Raw genomic sequence first — 23,069 nt, forward strand, 5'->3', positions numbered from 1 at the left:
AATGCAGAAGATGTATGCCTGGTTTATCAATCCACATTACTCGGCTCATCCGAGCTCATCTTAGTCTTAGTGTACCTCACCCAACTTTGGAGGGTTAATTTGTTGTATATTAAACTTGTGTTTCTTGGGAGATGTGTAATATTAGATAATGTTCCAGAAACTGACCCTTATGGAAATGAAGGTCCATGATTCAGTTTGGATTCCAAGTAGGAAAAGAGGTTTTAAAAGTTCCTTTCCATTGTCTCAGTGAGAAGACCACTAAAGAGTTCAAGTTAAAGAAGGAAAGATTCGGTGCTGTACAACCTTAAGGTTAGCAAGCAAAGACTAAAAGGTATCTGCTACCAGTAATGAGGGCTTAATGACAGAAATGGACAGTCTTGTCCGACCAGCTTACGTGGGTGAGGTCAACCTAGTTATGCACTGAAACTATACCCTTACCCACTTTCAGTAAAGGTGTTTACCAGCTCCGTAGTGAGAGGAGATCTGTGAATTTGGTGTCTGATGTCACTGCATGGCCTTGTGTAGTTTGTTCAGTGCAACTAAGTACATTCTAGAGTGTGTCCTTAGTCAATGTCAGCCAATGCTTTTATCACCATCATAAGGTCTTGAGTTTCGAAAGGTCTTCAGGTTCTTCTTTACAGACACCTAAAGTGATTGGCCCTGCCTGACCGTGGTCAAGATGCTAGCGGCTAAAGTGGGCAAAGCCAGGTAAGGAGATGATTCACAGGGTTCTGCCTTCATGTCTCTTACCCATGGTCAGTGTCACTGACACCATCTTTGGGCCTTCTTTGCCACTTTTATTAATTTGAAAAGTGAGACAGAGGCCGGGTGCGGTGGCTCATGCCTATAATCCCAGCACTTTGGGAGGCCAAGGCGGGCAGATCACCTGAGGTCAGGAGTTTGAGACCAGCCTGACCAACATGGAGAAACCCCGTCTCTAGTAAAAATACAGAATTAGCCAGGCGTGGTGGTGCATGCCTGTAATCCCAGCTATTCGGGAGGCTGAGGCAGGAGGATCACTTGAACCCAGGAGGCAGAGGTTGCGGTGAGCAGAGATCACACCATTGCACTCCAGCCTGGGTAACGAGTGAAACTCCATTTCAAAAAAAAAAAGAGAAGAAAAGTGAGACAGACTGCTAGTTGTTCCCAAAACTGTCTCTCCTTATTCCATAGTTAATAGAGTTTTATTTCGGCATATGGCCACTCATATCCCAACCTCCCTTGCTATTAGGTGTGGCTAAATTTTTGCCAAGGAAGTATAGGCAGAAGTGATGTGTGCAACTTCCATGTCACTTTTCCGCTTTTCCCCTCTTCTACTAGGTTGAAATGATCACAGGGCAGTGACCTAGCTATGGCCATAAAGTCAAAAATAACACTCTTAAGGAATAGAGGAGTAAAAAAAAAAAGTAGGGGTCTGGGCCTGAAAGACTGCACAGAGGAAAACCACCCCACCTGCCTGGACTGCTCATTTCTGGACTGTTACATGATAGAGAATCAAGTTCTGCCTTCTGTAAGCCATGGTATAGTTGGGTCTCTGTTATCACAGCGTAGCCTATGCCCAGCCCAAATAGTACCTAGGTCCTTACTTTCCCCTGCCTTCCACCTCCTCTGTTCCTTGGAGGATGGCTTTCTCCCTGCTCTCTCTTCCATCTCATGTTCATGTCCTTTCTGCCTTTGCCCCTTCTCCATATGCTTCCCAGCATGGCATGCACTCAGTCCAAATGCTGGTTGCCAGTTGTGTGTCTATTTAAGGCTCTTTCCCCAAAGATCAACTTTTTTTCTCCTTCTCAGCTAGCAGAACATATTTTCACCACCTAAAAGGAATTTAAGAAGAATTTAAAGCCCATTCCACCCTCACAGGGTGAGCAATTTATAGTGGTTATCTACTAAGGTATAAGGATCTTATCATCAATTTAAGAGAGTTTCTTAGATAATTATTGGAATGTGTGCTAGTGCAGGAACCAAGAACAAACAACATTTGTCATAAGCCAAGGGCATGCCTTTTGTTCATTTAATCTGCAGTGCTTATGTTATGAGGAGCAGACTAGATCCAAGAGAAACAGAATCCATGACATTTAGAGCCATAGGCTGTATGTGGGCTGTGGAGAGTGCAAATGGCTTGATTGGAATTCCAGGAAAAATCTCAGATGCCCTGGGTAGAAGGGTTCTGATTCTTGGGGGTTCCTGTATCCCAAACACAACTCTTCATTTGTGTTGTCCTGTAGTTCACCTGAACGAGTACCAGAGTTCTCACTGTTTATTCATTCAGCAACATCTTTAGTGCTACTATGTGCTGCGGATTATGCTGGGTGCTGGGGATATGTGTAAACGACAGACATGGTCCCTGTCTAAATGGGCTTACAAAATAGTGTGAAGACATGCATTATAAAGTAATTAGATGGGTGGTGGGTGCTATGGTAGGTCAGGGTACCCTGGGAGCACACAAAAGCAATAGGCTTTCCCACTCCACTTTGTTCCCAGAACACTTGCAATTGGGCTTATATGCTCCAGGAGGAAGACTGGAGGATTCTTAGGAGAAATGGAACTGCCCCCCGGGAAAAGGCCCTACAAAGAAGGGGCCATTTTGCTTGCCCAATCACCCCCTAGTGGAGTTAGCCTGTCAAAAATTCACCGCCTCCCTTAGACACACAGAACTCCCTATCAACTTGTGTCTCCCTCTAAAATGTGAAGAGGACAGTGCAGGATTATCAGACATTTGACAACAGCCTCCCACAAGGAAGACTGAGACTAAAAGCCAAAACAACTCCCAAAGAAATCAGGCACTGTAGAAAACAAGAAAAATCAAACTCCAAAGACCTAAGTTTTTCAGAGATCCTAAGTTTTTCAGTAGACTGCATCTACTCAGCAACAATAAGATGCTAAGAAAGAGCTTTTGGAAAATAAAATATGATAGCGGGATCTATACAGCAGAATGATTGGGCCCAGGATTTAACACAGAGCTTCTAGAACATGAATAGGGTCTGCGATGGCTTTTTTTTTTTCTTTTTTTGAGACAGGTTCTGGCTCTGTTGCCCAGGAGTGCAGTGGTGCAATCTCAGCTCACTGCAATCTGCCCCACTGGCTCAAGTAAGTGATCCTGCCAACTCAGCTTCCCGTATAGCTGGGATTATAAGTATGTGCACTACGCCCAGCTAATTTTTGTATTTTTAGTAGAGACAGGGTTTCACCATGTTGGCCAGGCTGGTTTTGAACTCCTGACCTCAAGTGATACACCCACCTTGGCCTCACGAAGTGCTGGGATTACAGGCATGAGCTCTCTTTGAGAACAGGCTGGATAGCAGAGTTCAGCTTCAAACATCCAAGTTGAAAGATACCATTTAACAAAGGGTTTTGTTAGAGCAGGTGAAATTGGTCAGGCATGGTGGCTCATGCCTGTAAGCCCAGCACTTTGGGAGGCTGAAGCAGGCAGATCACTTGAGGTCGGGAGTTTGAGACCAGCCTGGCCAACATGATGAAACCTCGTCTCTACTAAAAATACAAAAATTAGCTGGGCATAGTGCACACACTTATAATGGCACATACTTATAGTGGCGGCATGGACCGGTAATCCCAGCTACTGGGGAGGCTGAGGCAGGAGAATCACTTGAGATTCAGAGAAGCGAATAGAGAACAGAGAATCCCAGGAAGCGGAGGTTGCAGTGAGCCAAGATCGCACCACTGCACTGCAGCCTGGAACAAAACAAACAAAAAAACAGGTGAAATAGATACCTGAGCTAGCAATGATTTTTATGTTGTAGTCTCAGATTGCTGATGGGTAAGAAACAAAATTTTGGGAGTCAAGCAAAACATGGCAAAGCTTGGAGATCAAATGCAATCTCTGAGGAAGAACAGCAGATAGTCTAGACCAAGCTTTAAGGAAAACTAGAAACATTTAATATCTGGGTAGAGGAATCACCATTGAAAAGAAGACTGAGAAGTAGCCAAGGTGGCATGGAGGTCAAGAGAATGTTTTGAAAAGAAGGGAATGCTCAGTGTCAACTCCTGCGGAGGAATCAAATAAATTAAACACTTCTGAAAGTGTCTATTGAAATTCAGCCACATGGAGGGGTGTGGAGAGTCAGATGCAATGAGTAGAAAGTAGCAGATGGTCAGGAAATGGAGATGTCATAAGGGTACATAAAATTTGTTTTAGAGCTTTTACCTTGAAGGAGAGGAGAGATAGAATGATAACCAAAGGAGGAAGATAGGACTCAGGGAGAGTTTTATTTAAAATGGAAGAGATTTGAGCAACTTTAAAAACTGACAGGAGGGAGTCAGTAACAAGAGGCACAGTCAATAAAATGATGTCCCTGAACTGGAGTGAGGGTGAGGCTGGCATCTCAAGCACTGCTAAAGAGACTGCCCTTAGGTAGGAGAAGAGAAACCTATAAGCTCTAAGGAGAAGGAGAGAAAAAAATAACAGTCACATCCTCTGTGAAATAGGAGACGCTGAGTACTGATTGAGAAGAAAAAAGTGTGAAATAGTTTACATACAGTGTTGAATACAGAAACACAGTAAGATTGCCAGGAAATATTAAGAGAGATTGTGTTTATTCACTGTTTTTTGTTTGTTTGTTTGTTTTGTCTCCCAGGCCGGAGTGCAGTGGTGCCATCCTGACCTCAGGTGACCCACCCGCCTTGGCCTCTCAAACTGCTGGGATTACAAACGTGAGCCACTGGGCCCAGCCCCCGCTATTTTTTTTTTTTTTTTTTGAGGTAGAGTCTCACTCTCCCACCCAGGCTGGAGTTCAGTGGCGCGATCTTGGCTCACTGCAGCCTCCACCTTCTCGGTTCAAGAGAGTCTCCTGCCTCAGCCTCCCAAGTAGCTGGGATTACAGGCATGTGCCACCACACACAGCTAATTTTTTTCATACTACATTTTTTAATCCATTCATTATTTGATGGACATTTGAGTTGTTTCCACTTTTGAGCTACTAAACATGCTATTATAAACATTAATATACAAGTTTTTATGTGGATATTGGTTTTCATTTATCTTGAGTACCTAGGAAGAGAGTTGCTGGGTCATATGACAACTCTATGTTTAACATTTTGAACAACTTGCCAGAATGTTTTCCTCAGCAGCTGCATCATTTTACATTCTAACTACCAGCATATGAATTTCTCCGTATCCTTGCCAACAACACTTGTTATTGTATGTCTTTTAATAAAAAATAATAACCATCCCTAGTGGGTCTCAGGTGGTATCTCATTGTAGTTTTGGTTTACATTATTACCCTGATGGCTAATGATATTGATTATGTTTTCTGCTATTTATTTTGCGATTTACATATCTTCCTTGGTGAAATGTCTGTTCAGATTCTTGCCCATTTTACAAATTGGGTTATTTGCATTTTTTATCAGTGAGTTGTAAGAGTTTTTTTGTTTTGTTTTTTGACATGGAGTCTCACTCTGTCACCCAGGCTGGAGTGCAGTGGCGCAATCTCGGCTCACTGCAACCTCTGCCTCCAGGATTCAAGCAATTCTTCTGCCTCAGCCTCCAGAGTAGCTGGGATTACAGGTATGTGCCACCACGCCCGGCTAATTTTTTTGTATTTTTAGTAGAGATGGGATTTCACCATATTGGCCAGGCTGGTCTCGAACTCCTGACCTTGTGATCCACCTGCCTCAACCTCCCAAAGTGCTGGGATTACAGGTGTCAGCCACCACGCCCGGCCATAAGAGTTTTTTTATATATTCAAGATGGAAGTCCTTTATTAGATAATGTGATCTGCAATTTTTTTTTCACATTCTGTAGGTTGTATTTTCACTTTCTTTCTTTTTCTATTTTTTTTTGTGGGGGGGGGGTGGGGGACTGGGTGTCACTCTGTCACCCAAGCTGCAATGCAGTGGCATGATCACAGCTCACTGCAGCCTCAACTTCCTGAGCTCAAGCCATCCTCCCACCTCAGCCTCCCAGGTAGCTGGGACTACAGGCGTACGCTGCCACACCCAGCTAATTTTTTGGAGATTGAGTTTTGCCATGTTGCTCAGACTGGGCTCGGACTCCTGGGCTCAAGCAATCTGCCCACTTCGGCCTCCCAGAGTGCTGGGATTACAGGCGTGAGCCACCACACCCAGCCTTAGTTTTGACCAAATGTCTTTTTTTCTGTTGCAGGAACTCATCCAGGATAGGACATTACATTTCATTGTCATGTCTCTTTAGGTTCCTCATGCTTATGACGATTTCTCACAATCACCTTGTTTTTTATTTCCTTGACAGTTTCAAGGAATACTGGTCAGTTTTGTGTAGAAGTCCCTCAGTTAGGATTGTTTGATGTTTTTCTCATCATTAGATGGGGGATATGGATCTTTGGGGAGGAATATCATAGAGGTAAAGTACTATTTTCGTCATGTCATATCTAGGTACATACTATCAACATGAATCACCACTGTTAATGTTGACCTTGTTCACCTGACCAAGGTAGTGTCAACAGCTTTCTCCACTGTAAAGTTACTCTTTTTTGCTGCCTTTTGCTGCATGCTACAAGTTTTGATATACAGCGTTTTCTTACCATTCACTTCTAAATATTTTCGTTGAAATTTGTCAGTATGAACTTGTATTTATCTCCCAAATTTTGCAGTTTTTCCCCAGTATCCTAAGTGTAGTTACAAAATTTTAAAAAGGGAAATTTAAGGACAATCCAGGCCTGGGGTTTTGTCAGGAAAGTACACCCCATCTACTATATTTCATTTCATACCTCTCATTCCACATCTCATGTTCTGCCTGCATCTCATTAGGTAGTCTTTCTTTAATTAGAGACTCCATCTCTCATTACACTCTTCATTTCACCATTGCATCTATCACACACATCCATCACTCAAAGTCATTGCCTGAATTGACTCATGCTACTGTGGGCCATGAGAATTTCAGCTATTAAAGACAAGAATGTTTGCAGGGATGGAAGATGGAGTTGAAACTAGGTAGGAAGGCAAGTCAAAATAGAAAGGGCCTGAAAAATAGGTAGAAGGTAGCGGGATCGACGGACTGGAAGTCCCAGTGAAGTAAAAGAACTGGTGATTAGGAGTAGATAGAAATACAGGAGGTTGTGGTTTGAGAATGGGATATCTGCATTTATTATTTTGCAGGTAGAACAATTTTAAGTGGCTTGTCATAATCTAGTCATTGCATGCTCATAGAATGAATGGATGAAGGAGAGTGGAAGGGAAGGTCGTTGAAGAGGAAGGTCCATTAGCGGAGCATAGTGGCCTCTAGTCCCAGCTACTTGGGTAGTTGAGGAAGGAGGATCCCTTGAGCCCAGAAGTTCAAGGTTAGTGAGCTGTGATCACATCCCTGCACTCCAGCCTGGGCAACAGGGAGACCCTGTCTCAAAGAGAAAGAGAGGGGTGGGGGAGGGAGGAAGGAAGGAAGGAAGGAAGGAAGGAAGGAAGGAAGGAAGGAAGGAAGGAAGGAAGGAAGGGAGGGAGGGAAAGGAAGAAGGAAGGGAGGGAGGGAAGGAGGGGAGGGGACATACTGCTTTCACTGTATCCCATAGGTTTCAGTATGTTGTGTTTCCATTTTCATTTGTCTTAAGAAATTTTAAATATATATATATATATATATATATATATATTTTTTTTTTTTTTTTTTTAATTGTAGAGACGACATGTTACCATATTGCCCAGGCTGGTTTCAAACTTCTGGGCTCAAGCAGTCCTCCCACCTTGGCCTCTCAAAGTGCTGGGATTATAGTCATCAGCTACCACACCCAGCCTATTTCAAGAAATTTTTCAGTTTCCTTCTGAATTTCTTCATTGGCACACTTGTCATTCCAGAGCATGTTGTTTAATTTCCATATGTTTGTATAGTTTCCAAAGTTCCTCTGGTTATTGGTTTCTAGTTTTATTCTATTCTATTATGGTCAGAGAAGATACTTGAATCAGATTTCAATTTTGGGGGATTTTTTAAGACTTATTTTGTGGCCTAACATGTGGTCTATCCTTGAGAATAATCCATGTGCTGAGGAGAAGAATGTGTATTCTGCAGCTGTTGGATGAAATGCTCTATAAATATAGGTCCATTTGGTGTATAGTGCAGATTAAGTCTGATGTTTCTTTGTTGATTCTCTGTCTGGGAGATCTGTCCAATGCTGTAAATGGGGTGTCGAGTCTCCAGCTATTGTTGTATTGGGTTCTATCTCTCTCTTTAGCTCTAACAATATTTGCTTTATATATCTAGGTTCTCCAGTGTTGGGGACATATATATGTGTGTGTATATATGGGAAGATGAAGAAGCTCTGGAGATGGATGTTGTGATAGTGGCACAATAATATGAATGTACTTAATGCCACAAAGCTTTTACACTTAAAAACAGTTTAAATAGGGCCGGGTGCGGTGGCTCAAGCCTTTAATCCCAGCACTTTGGGAGGCCAGGGCAGGCGGATCACGAGGTCAAGAGTTCAAGACCATTCTGGCTAACACGGTGAAACTCCATCTCTACTAAAAATACAAAAAAAAAAATTAGGCGTGGTGGCTGGCGCCTGTGGTCCCAGCTCCTCGGGAGGCTGAGGCAGGAGAATGGCATGAACTAGGGAGGTGGAGTGTGCAGTGAGCTAAGATTGCGCAACTGCACTCCAGCCTGGGCGACAGAGCAAGACTCTGTCTAAAAAAAAAACAAAAAACAAAGAACAAAAACAGTTTAATAAATTGTACGTTACGTAAACTAAACACATTTTAGACAATCTGTAAGAGAAATGAAGGCAATCGAGGCTGTTTTCACAAGTCCTTGGCTTTAGTATGATAGCTTCCAAGTTGAACCTGATGAGCCTGACCTCCTTGTATTAATGTTTCCATACGCTGGATTGGAATAACTTGTGCAACCAGTGGGATATGTCAGAAGTGACCAGAAATGAGTGGGCTGCCATGTTGTGAGGACACTCACAGCCTGTGAAGAGGTCTAATGATGAGGAAGTGAGGCCTCCAGCCAACAGCCAGTGTTAACTTGCCAACCATGTGAGAAGCTACCTTGGAAGGAGATCCTCCAGCAGCCCCTCTCATGAGAGAGGTCAAGCCAGAGCTAACCTGCTAAACTCCTAAATTCCTGAACCACAGAAACTGTGAGATAATGGTTATTGTTTTAAGCCATTATGTTTTGAGGCCATATGTTATACAGGAATTGAAAACTAATACAGATAGTATGAAGGCTTCTTTCATCAACTGCCTGAGGTTGGTGGTGTCTTCAGTCATTTATATAGATCTATTTGTTTCTGGATAATATTACAGCTATTTAAAGATATTTTGTGGCTCTATTTAGATACAGCTACATTCGCCTTTATATGTTTTGAATACCCAGTAAGTAACTTGAAAATATTTCCTGATATTGGAGGGAGGGGCATTGCTGAATTTCAGAAAGTTAAGGCTAGTAAGAGCTATGACTAATATAATACATCTTGTTGGATACTGTGAATGCTTTTCATTTAATTCTGTAGGTAAAGGAAATAGAATCTGAAGGAAGGCCAGTGTTTTAAGTCTTCTTACTCTAACGTGAATGAATTCATTAGACATATTTATATTTTAAAAAAAAGAGGAAGCAAAATAAAATAAGGGGGCAAAATAAGCAAAGCCAACTTAAGAATTTTTTAAGGGCCAAATCCAGTTATCTTGGCTCTGTATGTGTGTACCTACCTAAAATTCTAATCTCTGTATCTGTGAGTCTCCAGTTTTTCAACCCAAGCTTGACGAGTTGTGGGACCTCCTCCAAATGTTTCAACAGGCTGCTCAGGCTGCCTTGCACGTCACAGCCCCAGGGCAGCATCAGTGCGGTGAGCTGTTCTAGCACGTTCATCCTGTCGACTGGAAGAAACAAAGAGCAGTTCAGGGACTGGATGGTCTCAAAACTGAGGAAGAACAAAGGGGTGTTAGGGGAGGAATGATCTTTATGTTTGGTGGCTCTGCAGCCTACTCAATCTGTAATGAGAATCTACTTAATTTTTGGTTTTTTTTTGGAAAGTATTCAAGCATATACAAACATTATGCAGAAGAATATAATGAAACTATATATACTAATAAGACACCTTCAAAAACATTAAATCATGGGCAATCTTGCTTAATCCTGACCTAATTCCTCCTGTATTATTCTAAAGCAAATCATGGACAATATGAATCAGTTCTTTCCTTTTTTTTCTTTTAACCATAATCACATATCACTATCACACCTAAAAAATCATATCACCAATTCCTTAAGCAAATTTGTCTTGCACATCGGCTACTCTTGACAGTTGCCTCTTCAAAGGAGGAAAGCAGGTGGGATACCGCCTCAAAGTGCAGTGAGCATATGTAAACTGGTGACTTAAAAGACATGGGCCTGTGTTCCTTAAGGGCAGTTTAAGAAAGGCCTAAATGATTTTCCTAAGGAGGGTGCATCTAGTAAGGCACACATGGGTATAAAAGACCTCAGGACCCAGGCTATGTATTTCGACTACCCAGTATACATATTCAAGTATCTAATTTTGGCTGAATTGTCATTCTTACTCAGTTCATGAAGAGCTTCATTTCCATCTTTTTCCAGGTAATTTTCTGATAAATCAAGAATGCTCAGTTTGACCAAATTGTGAAGATTCTGAGCTGGGGAAAAAAAGTAATCCAAAATAAAAAGATTTTCAGGTAAATATAAATGTATTTTGAAGTATCCTTAGAATAATTCTGAGTTTTATCTTCTCTGCTAATGGTAGTGCAAACCATAACTTGCCTTGGTTATTTTAATTATTTCCAAAGGCTCTGGTGTAGGTGTAACCCCCAAATCCCATGGTTATGACCAAATGGGCAAATAGTCATTGGTCCTAGGTTCTGATTAATGAATTCCAGGTCACGTAGAACCTAAAGCAGCATGGGATGTAGTTGTTATGTCATCATGGAAAAATCACTTGGTCTCTCTAAGCCTCAATGTCTTCCTCTATAGAATGAGGTAGTTGGACCAGATAAAATGTAAAGTTGCTTCAATTATAAAATGCCGTTAATCATGCAGGAGAAACAGGAACAACAACAACAACAAAAATGAAATGAGCTGGTTTTGTGTACCTCAACTTAGATGATTTTATTGACATAATAGTTGAGATATTAATAATAAAAACATAGTAAAAAATGGATGAGAAAAAAAACAAATAGCAAAATGGCAGATTCAAATTTATCCATATCAACAATTACATTAAATCTTAATGGACTAAACACTCCAATTAAAAGGCAGAGATAATCAGATATTCAGAACTTTTTTTAAAGCAAGACCCAGTTTTATGCTGTGTACAAAAGACGTGTTTGAATGACAAAGACACAAATATGTTGAGGTAATGGAAAACTATTTTGCATGCAAACATTAATTATATAATAGTACCAGTCTAGCTAAGAATTGCTTAGTGCTTTTCTTCACATATTATCACTCTTGCTTAATCTAGCTGAAGTTTTTTCTGTCAGGGCTAGAAAAATCTCCTTTTTAAAAAAATCAGACAAGTTTTTCATGAATATGTACTCTTGTTATAATATTGGCTATTATTATTTTTAATCAATCATATGAGCCCTTTTCTTAAAGTATCTTCTGGGTTTTGTGCTCTACAATAAAAAACCTGCTGAACTTCTCTTTAAAAGAGTACGTTTGCTATTTGCAGTTCTAAGCCTGTCTCTCCCCATCAGTAAGTAGAGAAATAAAGGCATGTGCTCATTGTTCTCATATTCCCAGTACTTATCCAGCCTTTTTCAACTGTGGGTTTCTCTAGCTGTAACTTTATATTAGTATACAAATGGCTTCCTTAGTTATCTTTAGAGACTCCCAGCAGTTATATAGTTTAACTTTAAAAAGATTATACCACTGTTTTCCAAAATCTAAATTTTAAAATATGTCTGAATTACACATGTATAGTTTATCCAGAAATATGCAGTTAGTTTCCCCGTAGTTGATATGCATCCCTTTGGGAACTCAGAAGGCTCAATTATCATATCATGCACATTAACTTCATCTTAACAGGGCAATGGGTAGGAATTAGAAGCCTGAGATCATTTAAGAAAATCTTTATCTCTCACTTCTCAATCATTTATCCATTCATTTAAATGTTTATTAGGCAGTAAATTATATGACCGGTTGTGTGGCAAGTTTCAAGCACCTATTTCTTATTTTCTTCCTTTTCACTTTCTCTAAAAATTACATCTTCAATTATTCTGAAATTCTCCCCTATTATCCATCAATAGTTGATTTAATTCTAATATGGAGAAAAATCATTAAAAACAATCTGCTTATTATCGAGAAGTTTTTATTTTCCAGTTTTCCTTAAAATTAAATTTCCATTTGAGACATTTAGTGTGAATTAGTATAATAGTATCACATGTTCTGTTATACTGTCCTCATTCAGTTAATGGAAGCAACAGTTACCTAGGATTTTCACTGCATTTGCAGACAAGCAGCAGGAGACTAATTGAATTTCTTCAAGGTCACAGGGTTCACTTGACAGAGACTTGACTATGTAATCCATTCCCTCTCCAATGTCAGACAAGTGGGTCAAATGAAATAAACACATCTTCTTCAGGTTTTTCAGGCCTTCAGCTGAAAAATGATAGAAAGGAATGCATTAGGATACCAAGTTAATTCGATTTAAGCATAGATTAATGAACTGAAAAGAAAGCAAAGAATAATTGTGCAGAGACCTTGCCATGTTCTTCCTGCAGCGACTTTAAGTTACAAAGAATCAACGAGAGCTTTTTTTCTTTCAATTCTCACTTTCCAGTCTCTTGGACCACACAAAAAATCACTTATATGGAGGTTATTCTCTTAGTAGCATGAGAAACACTGTAGTAAATTTGTAGTCTTTTTAATGGGCATCAATGTATACTCTTACCGTAATTCTTTACATGAATGAAGTCTTCTAGAGCACTCTCCTTTCAATCTTCTCAAAAATCTTAAACAGCGGGGGGGCTGAGTTCAGGGAGGTAGATGAGGACTTGGCTCCTTGGAGTGCTTCTAGTGCAACTGTCTACAGCCTCAAAAGCCTTGCCTGGACTCATGATATGGGGCCTGCCTGAAGCTTTAGAATGAAGACCACATCCACTGCAGCATGTTTAACCAGAAGAAAGATTTACCTTATATCAACAGTATAATTGGAAACATTCTAAAATATCCCCCGTTCTTAAGTCTAAAGCTAATGTGCAGTTTAGGATTGGTTAGGCCTCACTTTGTGTCATTAAAATACTGTCTTATCTTGATGGTACTGTAGCCTACGGGAAAGAAATATATGATTTTAATGACCAGGCATGGTGGCTCACACCTGTAATCCCAGCACTATGGGAGGCAGTGATAGGCGAATCACCTGAGGTCAGGAGTTCAAGACCAGCCTGTCCAACATGGCGGAACCCCATCTCTACTAAAAATACAAAAATTAGCTGGGCGTGATGGTGCACACCTGTAATCTCAGCTACTTCGGAGGTTGAGGCATTAGAATCGCTTGAACCCAGGAGGCAGAGGTTGCAGTGAGCCAACATCTCACCACTGCACTCCAGCCTGGGCGACAGAGCGAGACTCCCATCTCAAAGAAAAGAAAAGAAAAGAAATAAAATATATGATTCTAATAATATCAGTCTTGCAGAGCTTTCGGGAAGGTTGCAGATAATGTACGTTAACATATTTAATGTGGTGCCTGGCACATAGTAAGTGCTCCATAAATGTTCATTGTTGTCATGGGAGTATATACCGGTTAAAGGTTGTGAGCATGAGCTTTGCAGTCAGTTCCTGGATCCCCTACTTAATAATTATAAACTTGGGCAAGTTATTCAATCTTTTAGCTGAAGCGTTAGGGATCATTATATCTATGTACTAGGACTGTTGTGGGGATTCAATGGAATGAGGTATATAAAACTGCCGAGGCTAGTGTCTAATCTATAGCAGAGTAACTCTTTAATAAAGAGTAAATTATTACTGATATAATTAGACTGGTTTAGTCAAGTTCACATTTTGATTCCTTAATAGCAGAAGCAGGCTATCCTAGAGAGGTACTTTTTGACCTCTTTCTACCAGTTGGTAAGATCTTGAGCAAGTCAATAAGCTATTTTAGGTTCTAGTGGAGTTTTCTGTGAAATGAATGAGTTGAATTAGATGCTCTCAATCCCCTTCCAGCTCTGATTTTCTGTGTAATTTATACACATGCAATAAATGTTTATTGAACACTGAATTAATTTGATTATTCTCACGTAGGACATATAAGGAAAAGAAGTCAGCCATGTTTTGCTTTTGTTTTTGTTTTTGTTTCAAGATGGAGTCTATCTCTGTCACCGAGGCTGGAGTGCAGTGGAGCAATCTCGGCTCACTACAACCTCCTCCTCCTGAGTTCAAGTGATTATCCTTCCTCAGCCTCCCAAGTAGCTGGCATTACAGGTGCATACCACCATGCCCAGCTAATTTTTGTATTTTTAGTAGAGACAGGGTTTCACCATGTTGGCCAGGCTGGTCTCGAACTCCTGAACTCAGGTGATCCATCTGCCTCGGCCTCCCAGAGTGCTGGAATTACAGGTGTGATCCACCATGCCCAGGCTTCAGCCATGTTTGGCTTATAGGCTAGAGTTGTCTTTCGGCAGGAAGCAGAATAAGAAAGAACAAGATGAAGGGAAGAGAGGAGTATTTTAGTGAGGACTCAAGTAGGGAAAAAAAGAGCCAAAAAAAAAAAAAAAAAAAATCCAACACACGAGAAAACAGGGACATTCAAGGAAAGCAGCTTTAACAGGAATCCTCCCTGGCCTGCAGGGCCTGGTTCCCTGTGGTAAGCCATGTGTTCTGCTTGTGTTCCTGAAGTTTCCTTTTCCTTTTCATTTTTTTGATTGGGGAAACACAACCTGCAGTGTAGAATGAAAGCATGCTTCCCCCAAAGTTTTCTTGATTCACATTGTTTCCTGTGTCCTATTTCATTTATGAATTTTTTTAACTATGAAACCATAGTATAAACTTTAAAATATTGTTTCTATGCAACTATGAAACTATACTATAAACTTTAAAATATTGTTTCTATGCATTAAATAAAAACATAGCCAATGAGCCAGGGAGACGGAAGTTAAAAACACGTCAGGGGCTCTCTTCCCAAAAGGGTTACCATCTGGTGTTGTACAATTTGAATAAAATGATGCTGAAGGATTTTAATGGCAGTAGGGAAAATGTCTGGGGAAACCAATGTAGCCACAAGTACATAAAAACATCCTTGCCTTGTGCAGACACAGCCAATGTCAGAGCCTGAAGTTAACTCCTCTTATTATCAAACTTACATTGATACAAATATGAGAACAGAAATCTGACCTAGTTTTATAGCATCTTCTTCATTCATCTTTATGTTATCCATTATGAGCTTTGTAAGGTTCTTCAAGTTACCCAAGCTGTCAGTCAGACCACCTGTCAAAAGAAAAAAGATTGGACTCTTTCAGCAGATATTTGCTATTTACTATGTCATTTACTATTACTGTCATTTTTGTTACCAATCAAAAGATTTTAATGATCATCATGAGCCAAAAATGCTCATGAAATAGACATAAAAATATACTTTTTATAAGAGATGGGCATTATACTTCACTGTAAGCATGTTCTGCAAATAATAGACTAGATACCAATTTCCCAGATAACAGGGAAAAAAATTTCCTTTTTTTTTTTTTTTTTTTTTTTTTGAGACAGAGTCTTGCTCTGTCGCCCAGGCTAGAGTGCAGTGGCGCAATCTCAGCTCACTGCCAGCTCCACCTCCCGGGTTCACACCATTCTCCTGCCTCAGCCTCCCAAGTAGCTGGGACTACAGGCACCTGCCACCACGCCCGGCTAATTTTTTTTGTATTTTTAGTAGAGACGGGGTTTCACCATGTTAGCCAGGATGGTCTCAATCTCCTGACCTCGTGATCCGCCTGCCTCGGCCTCCCGAAGTGCTGGGATTACAGGCGTGAGCCACTGCGCCTGGCCGATAACAGGGAAATTTCTAAACACTTGGAAATTAAACAACACATTTTTAAATAATCATGCATTAAAGAAGAAGTCTCATGGAAACTTTGATAATATTTTGAAAAATATAAAAATAAAAACAAAACTTCAAAATCTGCAGCTCTCTCCTCACAAAGGGGTGAAAAGAAAAAAAAATCTGCAGCTAACACAGTGCTTACAGGGACATTTACAGTATTGCATACTTATATTAGAAATGAGGAAAGGCCTCAAATCAACAACCTAGGCATACTACTTAAGAAATTACAGAAAAGAGAGCAAAATAAATGAAAGAAGAAAGAAAATAATAAAGATAAGGGTGCAAATCAAAGTTATTATGCCTTTATTATACAAATTAAAAACAGAGGCAAGGTCTCACTATGTTGCCCAGGCTGGTCTCGGACTCCTGAGCACAAGTGATCCTTTGGCCTCAGCCTCCCAAAGTGCTAGGATTACAGGCGTGAGCCACCATGCCCAGCCCAGAAATCAAAATTATAAACAGGTAAACAATAGAAAAAAATCAATGAAGCTAAAAGTTGGATCTTTGAAAAGATCAATAAAATTTAAAAATTTCTACCAAGACTGACAAAGAAAAAGAAGACAAAAATTACCAATATCAGAAACAAAAAAGGGGATATCACTACACACACTGCAGATATTAAAAGGACAATTAGAGAATAATATAAACAAATCTATGCACATAAATTTGACAACATATATGAAATTGACCAATTTTTTGAAAACCACAAACTACCAACACTCATGTGATACGGAGTAGGTAACCGGAATAACCTTATAGCTATTAAAGAAATTGAATTTGTTATCTAAAATTTCCCGGAAAAGACATCTGTAGGCACAGATATGTTCACTTGCAAATTCTGCCACACATTTTCATTTTTTTCCTTCTATCAACTGTCTTCATATCTACCACACATTTAAAGAAGAAATAACACCAATTCTACACAGTCACTTCCAGAAAATAGAAGTACAAAGAATAATTCCCAACTCATTTTATGAAGCCATCATTAACTTGATATGAAAACCAGAAAAAGACGTAGAAGAAAAACTTTTAGGCCAGGCACAGTGGCTCACTCCTATAATCCCCGTGCTTTGGGGGGCAGAGGTAGGAGGATCACTTGAGGCCAGGAGTTTGAGACCAGCCTGGGCAATATATCCAGACCCTATCCCTACAAAATATTTTTTAAATTACCCAGGTGTGGTGGCAGGTGTGAGTAGTCCTGGCTACTCAGGAGGCTGAGGCAAGAGAATCGCTTGAGCCCAGGAGTTCAAGATTGCAATGAAGTGTGATGACACCACTGCACTCCAGCCTTGGTGACAGAATGAGACAATGTCTTTAATGAAAGAAAGAGAGAGAGAGAGAGAATAGAGAAAGAAAGGAGGGAGGGAAGGACGGAAAAGAAAAGAAAGAAAATTGAGGCTGGGCGAGGTGGCTCACACCTGTAATCCCAGCACTTTGGGAGGGCGAGGCAGGCAAATCACGAGGTCAGGAGTTTGACACCAGCCTGGCCAACATGGTGAAACTCCGTCTCTACTAAAAATACAAAAAATCAGCTGGGTGTAGTGGCAGGCGCCTGTAATCCCAGCTAGTCCAGAGGCTGAGGCAGGAGAATCGCTTGAACCCAGGAGGCAGAGGTTGCAGTGAGCTGAGATCGCACCACTGCACTCCAGCCCTGGTGACAGAGTGAGACCCCATCTCGAAAAGAAAGAAAGAAAATTAAACTTTAGACCAATATCATTCATGAATACAGAATCAAAAATCTTCAACAAAATAGAAAATGGAATTCAGTCATGCATAAAAGAATATTACGGCAGGCGTGGTGGCTCACACTTGTAATCCCAGCACTTTGGGAGGCCGAGGCAGGTGGATCACAAGGTCAGGAGTTTGAGACCAGCCTGGCCAACATGGTGAAACCCTGTCTCTACTAAAAATACAAAAATTAGCTGGGCGTGGTGGCGCGCCTGTAGTCCCAGCTACTTGGGAGGCTGAGGCAGGAGAATTGCTTGAACCCAGGAGGCGGCGGTTGCAGTGAGCCGAGATCGCATCATTGCACTCAGCCTGGTGACACAGCAAGATTCCATCTCAAAAAAAAAAAAAAAAAGAATATTACACCACCTCCAAATGGGCTTCATATAGGGAATGCAGGATGCTCAATATGTGGAAATCAATCCATATAATTCATTATATTGGCAGTCTAAAAGTAAAACTACGTGATCCCATAAATTGATGCAGAAAACACATGTGACATAATCCAACATCCAGGCTAGGTGGCTCACGCCTGTAATCCCAGCACTTCGGGAGGCCCAGGCGGGAAAATCTCTTGAGCACAGGAGTCCAAGACCAGCCTGGGCAACATAGCGAGAACTCGTCTCTACAAAAAATTTAAAAATTAACCAGATGTGATAGTTCACACTTATGGTCCCAGCTAGTCAGGAGGCTGAGGTGGGTGGATCTGTTGAGCCCAGGAAGTCAAGGCTACAGTGAGCTATGATCACGCCACTGCACTCCAGCCTGGGTGACAGAACAAGACCCTGCCTCAAAAATAATCTAAAAATAATTTAATAAAAACAATCCAACATCCATCCATGTAAAATGACATGATCATATAAATGGATACAGAAAACATCTTTAGCACAATCCAACACCTATTCATGACCAAAAAAAAAAAATTCTCAGCAACTTGATAAAAGACACCTACAAGAAAACTACATTTAACATTATACTTAAAGGTGAAAGTCTGAATGCTTTCTCCCTAAGGTCAGGAACAAGGCAAGATGTTAATTCATGTCACTATTCAACATTGTACTACAAGTCCTAGTTAGTGAAATAAGGCAAAAAAAAAAAATAAATAAAAGGAATACAGATTGGAAGGGAAGAATTTAAAATCATTCTTTTCGAAGATAACATGATTGTCTATGATAAAAATGTCAAGGAATCTACAACACCCCCTTCTGCAAACCCCACAAAAAAAACCCTTCTAAAACTGGCTGGGTGCAGTGGCTCATACATATAATCCTAGCAGTTTGCGAGACTGATGGGGAGGATCACTTGAGCCCAGGAGTTCAAGACTGGCCTTGGCAACATAGAGAGACCTCCTCTCTACAAAAAAGAAGGAGGAGGAGGAGGAGGAGAGGGAGAGAGGGGGAGGGGGAAGGAGAGGGGAAGGGAGAGGAAGAAGGAGGAGGAGGAGGAGAAGGAGGAGGAAGAGGAGGAGAATGAGAAGAGAAAAAATTAGTGAGGTAGCGAGGTGTGGTGGCACATGTCAGTGGTCCCAGCGACTTAGGAGGCTGAGCATTATGTAGAAAATGGGATTATAGACCGGGCACGGTGGCTCATGCCTGTAATCCCAGCAATTTGGGTAGCCGAGGTGGGTGGATCACTTGAGGTCTGGAGTTCAAGGCCAGCCTGGTCAACATGGTGAAACCCTGTCTCTATTAAAAAATACAAAAATTAGCCAGGCGTGTTATTGGGCGCCTGTAATCCCAGCTACTCAGGAGGCTGAGGTAAGAGAATCACTTGAACCTGGGAGGCAGAGGTTGCAGTAAGCCGAGATCACACCACTGCACCCCAGCCTGGGCGACAGAGTGAGACTCCTTCTCAAAAAAAAAAAAAAAAAAAAAAACAGATGAATAGAGGTCATTATGGTAAGTGAAATAAGCCAGGCACAGAAAGACAGACATCACGTGTTCTTACTTATTTGTAGGATCTAAAAATCAAAACAATTGAACTCACGGAGAGTAGAAGGATGGTTACCAGAGGCTGGGAAGGGTAGTAGGGAGGAGGTGGAAATGGTTAATGGATACAAAAAAATACTTAGAAGGGATAAATAAGATCTAGTATTTGATAGCACAACATAGTATCTAAGTCAAAATAAGTTAACTGTATATTTAAAATAACTAACAGTACAACTGGATTGTTCTTAACACAAAACATAAATGGTTGAAGGGATGGATACTCCATTTTCCATGATGTGATTATTACACATTGCATGCCTGGATCAAAGCATCTCATGTACCCCATAAATATATATACCTACTATGTATCCACAAAAATGAAAAATAGAAAAAATTTACCTTATAGGGTTAAGACATCTAAATGAGTTGATACACGAAATTTGCTTCAATAATACCTGTATGTGTTCAATAATGTTGGCTATCGTTATGTATACCTTTAAAAAATCAACAGGTTGGGGCCAGGTGTGGTGGCTCACACCTGTAATCCCAGCCCTTTGGGAGGCCGAGGCGGGTGGATCACCTGAGGTTGGGAGTTTGAAACCAGCCTGGCCAACATGGTGAAACCCCGTCTGTACTAAAAATACAAAAATTAGCCAGGTGTGGTGGTGCATGCCTGTAATCCCAGCTACTTGGGATTCTGAGGCCGGAGACTTGCTTGAATCCGGGAGGTGGAGGTTGCAGTGAGCCAAGATTGTGCCACTGCACTCCAGCCTGGGTGACAGAGTGAGACCCTGTCTCAAAAAAATAATAATTAAATAAAGTAAATACTTTTTTTAAATGGCAAACATTAAAAAATAATTATAAACACCATATAGGCCAAATTCAGCACATAGGTGATCACTTTACAGGATCAGTATAAAAGAATAGTTGTCATGAGTAGATGGTGAGCTTCCTGACACAGAAGGTAGTCTAATACAGTCTTCGTGACACCCAGAATCTTACAGAAGGGATTCCCTCATTAGGGAGGAGGTTTCAAAGATTATCTGTACAAAAAATTCTAGAATCTTAAAATGATAGGAAATTTCTCTGTAGGGTGACAAGCAAGGCAGAGCTGGGTGGGAAATTGCTAGCGTTTGAAAACTAACCCCAGACTGCTACAGTTAAGTACAGCAAGATTCCTGCTTCCCATGGCTTCACACCACATAGCAGTTCCTGCTCGGGGCAACCAGGCTGGTCTACACAGGTAGGGCAGACATTCTCCTTTAGTGTTATTTGGAATTTGGGGAAGTATCCCCGTTACCCAGAAAGATTGCCCTCGCATATCTGTGTCTGAAGTCTAAAATCTGAAATTTCATCATGTTAGACAATATTCCCCAAATCTTCTGTCATTCATTCTTCTTTTTCTTTTCTTTTTGGAGATAGGGTCTTGCTGTGTTGCCCAGGCACAGATATGATCATATCTTGCTGCAGCCTGAAAATTCCTGGGCTCAAGTGATCCTCCCACCTCAGCCTCTGGAGTATCTGGGATTACAGGCATGCACCATCACGCCCAGATGATTAATTTTTGTTGGAGACAGGGTCTTCCTATTGTGTCCAGGCTGATCTCAAGTAATCCTCCTGCCTTGGCCTCCCAAAGTGTTGGAATTACAGGTGTGAGTCACCTGGCCTGGCCCCAACCAAGTAAACAACAGTTAGGGTGGGAACGGAGCTGAGTATCTTCTACAATTTCCCAGATGAGAATCTTGTAACACAATTAGCTCCTAGCTCCTGCAGGTGATTAATTTACAGGTTGGATTTCCTCCAAGACTTGAAGTAGGGCAGGGTGCCACTTGGCAGGGAAGGACTGGGTATTGGGTAGAGATGGGGGTGCTCGCAGGAGAAGGATTTGCTGAAGACAAGCTTAACCTGCGTATATATTTATTTTTTTTAATTTTTTTTTTTTTTTTTAGACAGAGTTTCACTCTTGTTGCCCAGGCTGGAGTGCAATGGCGTGATCTCGGCCCACCGCAACCTCCACCTCCCAGGTTCAAGTGATTCTCCTGCCTCAGCCTCCCGAGTAGCTGGGACTACAGGCATGTGCCACCACGCCCGGCTAATTTTGTATTTTTAGTAGAGATGGGGTTTCTCCATGTTGGTCAGGCTGGTCTTGAACTCCCAACCTCAGGTGACCCACCTGCCTCAGCCTTCCAATATATTTTTTAATAAAAATATTTTTAGTATATTTACATTTTTAATAAAAATAGTTTTAATATATTTAAACACATACATATATGTATCTATGTATGTATGTGTATATATATCTTTCCAATCAGACTACAGCTCTGGGAATCTTCCCTATGGCTCCCAATCTAACAGCTTTCCCCCAACATAGACCTCTCTCCACAGCCCTTCTACCTTCCTTTCAAGTCCTGACACCTGGTAGAAACTACTAGAAAATTTAAAACAAAACTAATAAAAATGAAATCATGTCTTTTGCAGCAACATTGATGGAACCGGAGGCCATTATCTTAGGTGAAATAACTCAGAAACAGAAAATCAAATACCATATATACTCACTTACAAGTGGGAGCTAAATAATGTGTACACATGGAGATAGAAAGCAGAATAGACATGGAGACTTGGAAAGGTGGGAGCGTGACAGGGAGGCAAGGGATGAGAAATAATCTGATAATGGTGGTTACACTAAAAGCTCAGATTTCACCACCACGAAATATATCGATATAACAAAACTGCACTTGTACCCCCTATATCTATAAAAATAAATAATAAATAATAAAGCAAAACTATATATCTAACATTTTCACAGTATTCCTGGCTAATATTTCCAGCCAGTCTTGATTATAGCTGTAAACTAAAAATCCTAAGCCCCCCACCAACTGAATGCATCCCCTCTGGGCTAAGGAGACCCCAGAAAAAAACCTTAAACTCAGTTCCTGGCCATGACAGGATGGGAGGTCAAACACACATCATTATACTCCCTCTCTTGTATGGTTTGAACACAACTCATCAGCATTACTGTTGACATAGAGATCATAAGACTAACAGAACAGACTTTTTGTGGCAATAAATTACCAAGTTATAAAGAGGACATAAGACCATGCCAGGCAAAGGCTAAGTCATTCAGCTCTACGCTTAAAGAATAAACTGTCCTAGGCTGGGCGTGGTGGCTCACGCCTGTAATCCCAACAGTTTGGAAGGTGGAGGCAGTAGAACTGCTTGATCCCAGGAGTTCAAGACCAGCCTGGGAAACATAGTGAGACCTCATCTCCCCATAAAAAATCAAACAATGAGGATCAACTGAGCCCAGGAGGTTGAGGCTGCAATGAGCTGTGATCGCACCACTGCACTCCCACCTGGGTGACAGAGCAAGACCCAACCTCGAAAAAAAAAAAAAATTTAAAAAGAATAAACTCTGTCGTAACTGCCACAGATTTTTCTTCTTTGGTAGCTAAACAAGCAT

General features: G+C 40.9%; 1 protein-coding gene across 5 annotated transcripts in view; it reads right to left on the reverse strand.

Annotated features, from left to right (window-relative positions):
• The window catches only part of NLRC4 (NLR family CARD domain containing 4), a 41,295-nt gene that overhangs the window by 1,328 nt on the left and 16,898 nt on the right, over window positions 1-23,069 (reverse strand). For 4 of the 5 annotated variants that reach the window (NM_001302504.1, NM_021209.4, NM_001199139.1 and 1 more), the window contains 4 exons: window positions 15,257-15,349; window positions 12,356-12,526; window positions 10,471-10,563; window positions 9,625-9,792 (listed from right to left, as the gene is read on the reverse strand). In NM_001302504.1, coding sequence (NP_001289433.1) covers window positions 9,625-9,792; window positions 10,471-10,563; window positions 12,356-12,526; window positions 15,257-15,349 — 525 coding nt within the window. Of the gene's footprint in view, window positions 1-9,624; window positions 9,793-10,470; window positions 10,564-12,355; window positions 12,527-15,256; window positions 15,350-23,069 lie in introns of those variants that run through there. The other variant, XM_047445356.1, reaches the window with a different exon arrangement.

Source organism: Homo sapiens, chromosome 2 (genome assembly GCF_000001405.40).
Source record: "Homo sapiens chromosome 2, GRCh38.p14 Primary Assembly".
NCBI classification, from domain to species: domain Eukaryota; kingdom Metazoa; phylum Chordata; class Mammalia; order Primates; family Hominidae; genus Homo; species Homo sapiens.